Raw genomic sequence first — 9,793 nt, 5'->3', positions numbered from 1 at the left:
CAAGCAGTAGAGGTAATCCTTGCTGCTGGACCCAAAAATATGGCACAATACACCCTGAAAAAAGAGCCCAGGAAGAAGAGTTACGTCATCTGGGGAGGGTTCCAAAAATATGTAAACATGCCTTCTGTGGGTAAGCCTCAGGATGAAGAAAAGAGAAAAATAACCTAGGGGCTGGGGCCAGCTGCAGTTACAACCTCAGTGAGCAGGGCCCAGGCATGAGAGGAGAGTCACATAACACAGATGCTGTGCCAAGTGATATGTCACAACTCGCACTGTGGACAGGTCTCTGGAAATAAAGGAGAGTCACATAATCTAGTTTATGGTCGCAGAGATACATCACAATGTGTGTATCTCTTGTCTTTATGGACAGGAACCAGCAAGAACAATCACATCTCCTGTGGGCTGCATCCAGGGACAAGTTACCCTCCCTTCTGTGATCAGAGCCCAGGAAGAAAAGAAGAGTCACATTACCTAGGTGGGCCCAGAGATGTGTCACAATGTCACCTGTTGGCAAATACCAAGTAAGAGAGGAGAATAACATCAAATAGATAATGGGTCCAGAAATATGTCACAATTCCCCCTGTTCGCAGAATCTAGGCAGGAGACTCACATCACCTGGGTTTTAGACCTAGGAATATGTCACAAGATGCAATGTGGGCAATGCCAAGACAAAAGAATAAAAAACATACACCCTAGGTGCTAGGGGCAGGAATATATGTCACAATTCCATGTGACATTCATGGACCTACACCTAGGGTATTTGCCTGTATTGTGACATTCTCACTCAGGTACTTGGCAGAAGTGTATGTGATAATCAGAGCTGCAGGTAGGTTCAAGGATAAGATTAAAGATCCTACACGTGTCCCTGTTCTGGCTATGAGAGCAAACACCTCTTGTATGTTGGGTCTAAGTACAAAATTCACAATATTAACAGTGGACTGAATTTGTGCATGAGAACTTCAATCCCTTCTGTGGACTGTGTCTTATTCATGGAATCATAGTCTGAGATTCACCAACCCACCTGTGAATTACATCCATGTATGAGAGTCAATTATCCAACTTTTAACTTCCTCCTAATGTGAGATTCAGAACCTAAGCAGTAAACTGAATTCATGGGCAAGAATGAAAATCTTTACTATGAGTTTTGTGTGCATAAGAGTGTCACAATCTCACCTGGGCCAGAGATAAATGTTACAATCCCCTCCTGAAAGCAGGACACGGGCAGCAAAGTCACCTCACCTGGATGCCAAGCCCAGCAGTAAATTACAATGTTCTCTGTTAGCAAGGAACATGAAGGAGAGACACATCACCTGGCTTCCGGGCCCACTGATACATCACAGTCTCCCCTGAGGGAAGAACATAAAAAGAAGAGGAGTCACATCAGCTAGGTGCTGGGTTAGTCACAGGTCACAATCCCCCCTGTGAGCAGGAACCAGGCAGGAGAAGTGAGTTCCAACAATGTGCCCTGTGGGCAGCACCAAGGCAGGATAATAGAGTCACATCACCTAGGTGCTGGGTCCAAAAATAAGTCACAATCCTGTATGTGGGCTGGTCCCAGACTGTAGGTCAAATCACTCAGGTGCTGGCCAGAGGCATATATCACATTTACACCTGTAGGAAAGTCATAGAATGATATTTACAATCCAGCCATGTCCTGTTTCTAAGTATGTGAGTTAACACCTCATATATGTTGGGTCTAAGTACATGAGTTCATCTCAACAATAAACTGGATCTGTGCATGAGAGGCACAATCTTTCCTGTGTGCTGTTTTATCTGGGTGAAGTTACAGCTTCACAGGTGTGCTGAATATTGGTCTTAGAATCACCTGCCTACCTGTGGACCAGATTCACATATAAGAGTCAATTTTCCAACATTTGACTGCTTTTGGTTGTGAAATCCAGAGCCTTAACAATGGGCTGTGTTCATGTGGGAAGATGACAATCTTTTCTGTCGACTTGGTGAGTCTCACAATCTCACCTATGTATCACCCTAGGGCTTTATACCTGATGCATGAGATTCTCAATCTGCTCTGAGACATTTGTGCTGGTATGAATCATGATTGTACCTGTGGCCTTAAGCCCAAGTATGAGAGTCAACATCTCTCCAATTAGCTGAGTCCAGAATGAAGAATGTTCACCTTCCTATGAGCTGACCTTAAAATGAGTCATCATCCCAACTGTGCTTACATGTTTATGTATGATAGTCACAATCTCAACTCTAGACTGTGTCCACCTATAAGATTCAGGACCTCAATAATGGGCTTTGTTCAAGTGAGAAAATGATGAGAAACAAAACCTCACCTGTGTCTTGGACTCTGTGTTGACACTCTCTGTATCACCCAAGGACTTTCTATGAAATGCGAGACAGTGGTTAATTCTCTATGACCTTCATACAAAAATGAGACCTAGATTTGACCCATTTTCCTAAGCCCAGCTAAGAGAGATAGTATCTTTCATATTGGCTGGCTCAAGTTATGAGAGTCATTGTGACACCTGTAAACTGAACTAAGATATATATGACAGTCCCACAATTGGGTAAGGAGGGAGTGAGCAGGAGAATCACACCATCTGGGTGCTGTGCCAGAGATATTTGCAACCGTCTCTGAGGGCAGTGACCAGGCAGGAGAGTCATATCACGTTGTTGCTGGGCTAGGGTTATGTCATAATTTTTCCTGAGAGTAGGGACCAGCAAGAGAGTCACAGTACCTGTGTTTTCAGCCAGGGATATGGTATAATCCCCTCCTGAAAGCAGGACTAAGGCAGCAGAGTGTCTTCACCTGGTTGCTGGGCCTAACGATATGTCACAAAGTCTTCTGTGGCTAGACCCAATCAGCAAAGGCACATTACCTACTGCTGGCTCCAGTGATGTGTCACAGTACTTTTTTTTTTTTTTTTTGGCATGGCCTAGGCAGAAGACAAAATTTGAAATACCTAGTGATGAACAAAAGACACACCATAATAACCTTGTGGGCAGGACCCATGCAGGAGAGTCACGTCACCTAGGTGTTGGACCCAGCCACATTTCACAATACACAATATACGTGGGGGCCAGGCAGGAAAAGAGAGTTATATCACCTGCTGAGCAGGCTCAGTGATGTGTCACCATCTCCCCTGTGCACAGGGTGCAGGCCAAAGAGGAGAGTCACATTTCCTAAATGATAGATGTAGAGATATGTCACAGGCCTCCTGTGGGCAAGGCCCAGGCAGGAGCCTTTTATTTTCTAGATGTTTAGTGCAAAAATACGTCACAATACCCTAAATATCCAGGGCCCAGACAAAAGAGGAGTGTCATGTTACCTAGAATCTGTGTCCAGTAATATGTCACAATCCCCACTTTTGGCAAGACCGGCAGAAGAGGAGAGACACATCACGTAGGAAATAGACATAAAAAATATATCGTAATGCCTCTGTGAGCAGGACTTATGCGAGAAAGTAGCATCACCTAGGTGTGATAACATGCAACATGTCACAACACACAATATGTGCAGGGCCCAGGCAGGAGAGGAGAGTCACATCACCTGGATGCAGCGCACATCAACACATACAAATTCCTTATTGGTCAGAGTCCAAGATGTTGAGAAAGTCACATCACCTAAATGCTTGGTCCAGCAATATGTCACAATACCCTCTGAGTGAAGGCCCCAGGCAAGAGAGTGAGTCACATCACCTAGGTAAGAGACCCACAGATAAGTCACAATATTTTCTATGACCCAGGTCCTGGCAAAAGAAACACATCATCTGGTTTCTGGATCCAGTGATATGTCAAAATTCTTTCTGTGGTCAGGGTGTAGGCAGAGGTGAAGAGTCACATTTTCCAGGTGATATGTCACAATGCCTACTGTGGGGACGGTCCAAGCAAGAAACTCAACTCACCTTGGTAATAGTCCAAGTAATTTGTAATAGTGCCTTTTGAAGGCAGAGCTAAGGCAAAAAAGTGACATCACCTTGGTGTTGAGTCCAGCGATATGTCACAATGCTTCCTGTAGACATCACCAAGGCAGAACATGAGACTCACATCACCTGGGGGGCAAGGCCTACCAGTATGTCACAATGCCCCTGTGGACATTGTCAAGGAAAGAGTAGAGTCACATCACCTAGCTACTGGGTTCAGTGATATGTCATAATCCCTTCTGTGGGCTGGGCCCACATAAGGAGAGTCAAATCACTTGGGTGCTGGGAAGAGGCACATGTCACACGTGCAAGAAGGTCCAAGGATGAGATTAAAAATTCCACAAAGGTCCAAATTCTAGGTATGAGAGTCAATGCTTCCTGTATGTTGCTTCTATATACATGAGCCACAATCTCTACAATGGACTGAATCCACTCATGAGAGCCTCAATTTTTTCTGTGTACTGTGTTCCCTTATTAGAATCACAGTCTCACAGGTGTGCTAGATTTTGATCTGAGAGACAGCAGTCAACCTGTGGACCAGATCCACTCATGAGAGTCAATTTTCCAACTTTTGACTGTCTCCAGGTATGAGATTCAGAAGCTCAACAGTGGGCTGTGAAAGGATGATCATCTTTACTCTTTGCTGTGTGTGTGTAAGAGTGTCACAATCTTACCTTTGTTCAGGGCCATGTTAAGACATGTTCTGTTATCACCCAAGGGCTTTATATGGTATGCATGGGAGTCACAACTTCCTCTAAATCCTTTGTGCTGTTATGGACTCATGATAGTGTCTGTAGCTTTAAGCCCAGGTATGACAGTCGACATCTTTCTGATTGGCTGGGTCCAGATAGGAGAGTCCTCACCTGCCAGAGCTGGGTTTAGAAATGAGTCACCATCACAACTCTGGACAGAAATTCACAAATGAATGTCACAATTTTAACTGTGGACTGCATCCATGTGTGAGATTAAGTACCTCACCAGTGGGCTTCATCCATGTGTGAGGGTGACAATCCTAATGGTTGTCAGGATGAGCACACAAGAAACACAATCTCATCTGCACGCTGGGCCTTGTGATGACACTCTCTCTACCACCCAAGGGCTTTATACAATATGCGAGAGAGTGGTAACCTTTTATAACCTCCATACAGAAAGGAAACCCAGGATCTTACCCATTTTTCTACACCTAGCTATGACAGACAGTATTTGTCCTCTTAGCCAGTTCAAAATATTAGAGTCATTATTGCACCTGTGCACTGAGCCAATATATATGTCAAAATCCTACCTGTGTGTAGGGAGCAAACAGAAGAGTCACATCACCTAAGTTCTGGGCCAGAGATATGTGACAAACTTTTCTGAAAGAAGGGACCAGAAAAAAGAGACACATCACCTGGGTTCTCAGCCAGGGATATGTTACAATTCCACACTAAAAGCAGGGCACAGACAACAGCAGCACATCACCCTGATTCAGGGCTCAATGATATGTCACACTGTTACCTTTGGGTAATACCCAGGCATGAAAGACACATCACCTGGTTCGTGGGTTCCACCATATGTAGCAATCTTTTCTATAAGCAGCATGAACGCAGAGGAAGAGAGTCACATCTATTAGGTGATGGGTGCAAAGATATGTCACAAGGCCTCTGGTGGTCATCGCCCAGGCAGGAGTCTCTCATACAGTATAAGTTGGGACCAGCATTAGGTCATGATATTCAACATATGCAGGGCCCAGGGAAATGAGAAGAGTTACATTACCTAGGTGCTCAATCCATTGATATGTTACAATAACCTTTTTTTTTTTTTTTTTGGCAGGGCCCAGACAGAAGAGAAGAGTCACATCATCTAGATGATGAATGAAAAGATATGTCATTATTCTCCTTTGGGCAGTGCTTCTGCAGAAAAGTTGCACCTTCTAGGTGTTGGACTCAGCAATATATCACAATGTCTGCAGTATTTTGGAAGGAGAGGAGAGTCACCATTACTTAGGTGCTAGGCCCAGCAATACATCTCAAGCACTTCTTGGGCAAAGCCCAAGCAGTAAAAAAGAGTCACATTACCTAGGTTCTGGGTATAGCAATATGTCACAAATGCCCCTAAGAAGAGGGCCCAGGAAAAGAGAGTCACCTTGGTGAGAATGTCAGAGATATTCCATTTTTGGGTATTCACAAAAAAGAATAAAGTCCCATAACCTAGAAGGTGGGCTCTGCTCCATGACACAAATCACCCTAGTGGGCAGGTCCATTAAAGAGAAGGCTGTCAAAGCACATAGATGCTGGGCAAAGTGATATGTCATAATCCCCATGATGATAGGCCCAGAGACATGTCACAATGACCTCTTTAGGCAGAGACCAGGCAGAAGAATCACATCACTTGTGTGCTGGCCCTAGTGATAAGTCACTCTCATTTCTGTGGACATGGCCCAGGCAGAAGAGCAGAGTCACATTACCTAAGCGCTGGGTCAAGAGATATGTCACAATCTTTTACATGGGCAAAACCCAGGTAAAAAAGAGGAGTAATATCAGATAGTAGGTGTTGCCAGAGATATGTCAAAATGCCCCCTGTATGAAAGACTCAGGCAGTCAAAACACATTAGTTGGTTTCTTAACCTAGTGATATGTTATAATCTTTCCTGTGGGTATGATGCAGGCAGAAGACGAGAGTCATGTGATGGATGCAGAGACATGTCACAAGGTCTTCTGTGGGCAGGGTCCAGACTGAAGCCTTCCACCTGCTAGGGGTTGAGCCCAATGATATGTCACAATACCCAAATTATGCAGGGCCCAGGCAAAAAAAACGAGAGGCACATCACCTGGGTTCTGGATCCAATGATATATCACAATTTTCTATTTTGGCAAGACCCAGGCAGAAAGAAAAGTTACATCACCTAGGTGATGAATGAAAATACATATTATAATAGTTTTGTGGGCAGGACCCATGCGGGAGAGTCACATCACCTAGGTGTTGGACCCAGAAATATGTCACAATATACAGTGTATACAGAGCTGAGGCATGAGACAATAGTAACTTCACTCATTTGTTGAGCCCAGCTATACAATCCTTTTTTGGGCACAGCCGAAGTAGTAGAGGAGAGTTACATCACCTTGGTGCTGGGTCCAGCAATGTGTCACCATACCTGCTGAGGGGAGGGTACAGGCAAGAGAGCCACATCACTTAGGTGAGGGGCCCAGAGATATCTCACAGTACCCCCTGTGGGTAGAACTCAGGAAAAAGGAGAGAGTCACATAATCTAGAAGCTGAGCTCAGCTGTATGTTACAATCACCCAGTGGACAGGTCCCAGGCATGAGAGTAGAGTCACATCACATAGGTGCTGGACCAAGCAATTTGTCACAACCTTCACTGTGGACAGGTCCCCAGAAAAAGAGAATCACATCATTTAGGTAACAAAACCTGAGTTAGTCACTGTTACTTGTTTGGGCAGAGGTCAGGAAGAAGTGTCACACAACATGTATGCTGGACTAAGCAATACGTCACTCTCTCTGTTTTAGGTATGGCCCAGGCAGGAGAGAAGGGTCATATCACCTAAGCTCTGGATTCGCAGATAGGCCCCAATCTCTTTTTTGGGCAATGCTCGGGTAAGAGAGCAGAGTCACATCAAGTGGTTGATGGGCCCAGAGATATATCACATTGCCCCTTGTGGACAGGGACCAGGCAGGGGACTCACATCACAATAGAGGTAGGACAAGGAATACATCACAATACGTTTTGAGAGCAGAACCAAAAAAGAGTAACATAATCTTTGTGTTGAGTGCAGCAATATGTTACACTTTTCTTTGTGGGCAGAACGTGTAAAGAAGGAAAAAGTTGGCCGGACACGGTGGCCTGTAATCCCAACACTTTGGGAGGTCAAGGTGGGCAGATCACCTGAGGTCAGGAGTTCAAGACCAGCCTGGCCAACATGGCAAAACGCTGTCTCTACTAAAAATACAAAAATTGGCTGGGTGTGGTGGCAGGCACCTGTAATTCTAGCTACTCAGGAGGCTGAGGCAGGAGAGTCACCTGAACCTTTGAGGCAGAGGCTGCAGTAAGCAAAGATCACGCCACTGCACTCCAGTGTGGGTGACACAGCAAGACTCCATCTCAAAAGAAAAAAAAATAAAGAAAGGAAAAGTCACATAAGCTAGGCACTTGGCCCGTGATATGTCATAGTCACCCATTTGAGAAGGGAACAGCGAAGAGAAGAGAGTCACATCACCTCTCTGGTGGACACAGAGATATCTCACAATGCTCTCTGTAGGCAGGGCCAGGGCACAAGAGTTATATAACTCGGGTGTTAGACCAAGCAACATGTCACAATGGCTGATATGGGCCAGACACAGACAAGGGAGTCACATATTTGGGTGTAGGGCTCAGTTATATGTTGAAATGCCCCCTGTGGGCAGCGACAAAGCAGAAGATTCACATCACCTGGATATAAGGCCCGGTGATACGTTACAATTCCCCTGTGAGCAGCGCTAAAGCAGAAGAATAGGGTAATATCACCTAGGGGCTGAGTCCAGTGATATGTCACAATTCCATCTGGGCTGGGCCCAGGCAGATGTGTCAAATCATGAAGGTTCTGTGAAGGTGCATATATCACAATCACACCTGCAGGAAGGTCCAATAATGAGATTAACAATCTCACACAGGTCCGGGTTCTAGGTATGAGAGTCAACACCTGTGTGTTGGATCCAAATAGATGAGTCGTAGTCTCAACAATTGACTTGATCCATGTGTGAGATCCTAGTTTCTATTTGCATTACTATTGGTACCAGTACCTATTAATTCTTCCACCTTCTACATCTTTGTTCTGTATGAATGTATATACAAAGATTGATACATATACAAGATTATATGAGTATTTCTATGTAAATATGTACACAAAAATTGTTCCTCCAAAGACATTTTTCAGTATCTTAGCATATTCTAAGGGTGCAGATGTAGAATTATTTCTCTTCTCTGGCTCAGTAGCATGTCAGAATGGAACATAGGTATAGAATGTTTTTTGTATAGACAAAGCTTCACTTTCAGGGGCAAGGTTTGGGAAATAAGCTGATAGTAAAGTCATGTAACACTTTCTGTGCAGGTTAACATTTCTGGACCTTGCTTTCCTTCTCAGTGTATGCATGAGCTATTCTCATGCACCACTGGGGGCCAGTCTTGATTAATCTACAGTTGAAATTTAGAGAACTGGCTGATTGAATCCACCTGGGCTGAGCTAACTGACATTGAAATCAGCTGGGCTGAGCTTATTGGCCAGTTAAAATCATCTGGGCTCAAATATCGGCTGACTGGAGTCACCTGGGCTAAACTAATTGGCTGATTTTAATCTCCTGGGATTGGTTAATTGACTGTAATGACCTGATTTGAGTTAATTGACTGATTGAAATCAAAAGTGCTGACCTAATTGGCTGATTGAAATCACCTAGAATGAGGTAACTGACTGATTGGATTTACCTGATCTGAGCTAATTGGCTGATCAGAATTACCTAGACCAAATTAATTGGCTAATTGGAATACACTGGGCTGAGCTAATTGGCTGATTGAAATAATCAGGGCTGAGTAAGTGGGTTGCTTGTATTCACCTCCCCTGAGAAGAATAAGTAGGGAAATGATCTCTGACTTACCTTTTTTTTTATAAGACATACTCATAAATGGACATTACATAGATATATTTATATATTGTATGTGTTTGTATGTGTTTATCTACATATATTATATCTGTTAACCTTCAAGTTAAAGTGTGCAAAGGAATCTGAAATTTGCTTTCAATATTGCAGTCTATCTTCAATTTACAGACCTTGGCTTTTCTACCCCAATTCAAGAAGTCACTTCTTCAGTCAACCAAACCAATTACAAAATTGTGTTCCAATGTCACATGTTCAAAAATAAACAGTTCCTGAAAAGA

The 9,793-nt window shown here is 44.0% G+C and overlaps 1 protein-coding gene and 2 long non-coding RNA genes across 8 annotated transcripts in view; 1 reads left to right on the top strand and 2 right to left on the bottom strand.

The window, feature by feature from the left end:
- Positions 1-9,793, top strand: part of ZNF91 (zinc finger protein 91) — a 90,468-nt gene extending 80,675 nt beyond the window's left edge. For 4 of the 6 annotated variants that reach the window (XR_001753754.3, XR_007066980.1, XR_007066981.1 and 1 more), the window contains one exon: positions 5,700-9,793. The gene's annotated coding sequence lies outside the window, so the exon portion shown is untranslated. Of the gene's footprint in view, positions 1-370; positions 522-5,699 lie in introns of all 6 variants that reach the window. The other 2 variants (XR_007066982.1, XR_007066978.1) reach the window with 1 other exon arrangement.
- On the bottom strand, positions 1,263-2,786 carry LOC124904674 (uncharacterized). The gene is made up of 4 exons (XR_007067206.1): positions 2,706-2,786; positions 2,301-2,349; positions 1,506-1,611; positions 1,263-1,346 (listed from the first exon to the last, which is right to left on the bottom strand). It is a non-coding gene; the product is annotated as an uncharacterized LOC124904674 (long non-coding RNA).
- LOC124904675 (uncharacterized) lies at positions 3,512-3,961 on the bottom strand. Its single transcript, XR_007067207.1, has 2 exons — positions 3,873-3,961; positions 3,512-3,666 (listed from the first exon to the last, which is right to left on the bottom strand). It is a non-coding gene; the product is annotated as an uncharacterized LOC124904675 (long non-coding RNA).

This window comes from Homo sapiens, chromosome 19 (genome assembly GCF_000001405.40).
Source record: "Homo sapiens chromosome 19, GRCh38.p14 Primary Assembly".
In the NCBI taxonomy this organism is placed as follows: domain Eukaryota; kingdom Metazoa; phylum Chordata; class Mammalia; order Primates; family Hominidae; genus Homo; species Homo sapiens.
The sequence above is the reverse complement of the archived record's forward strand: the minus strand, read 5'-3'. Positions and strand labels throughout refer to the sequence as shown.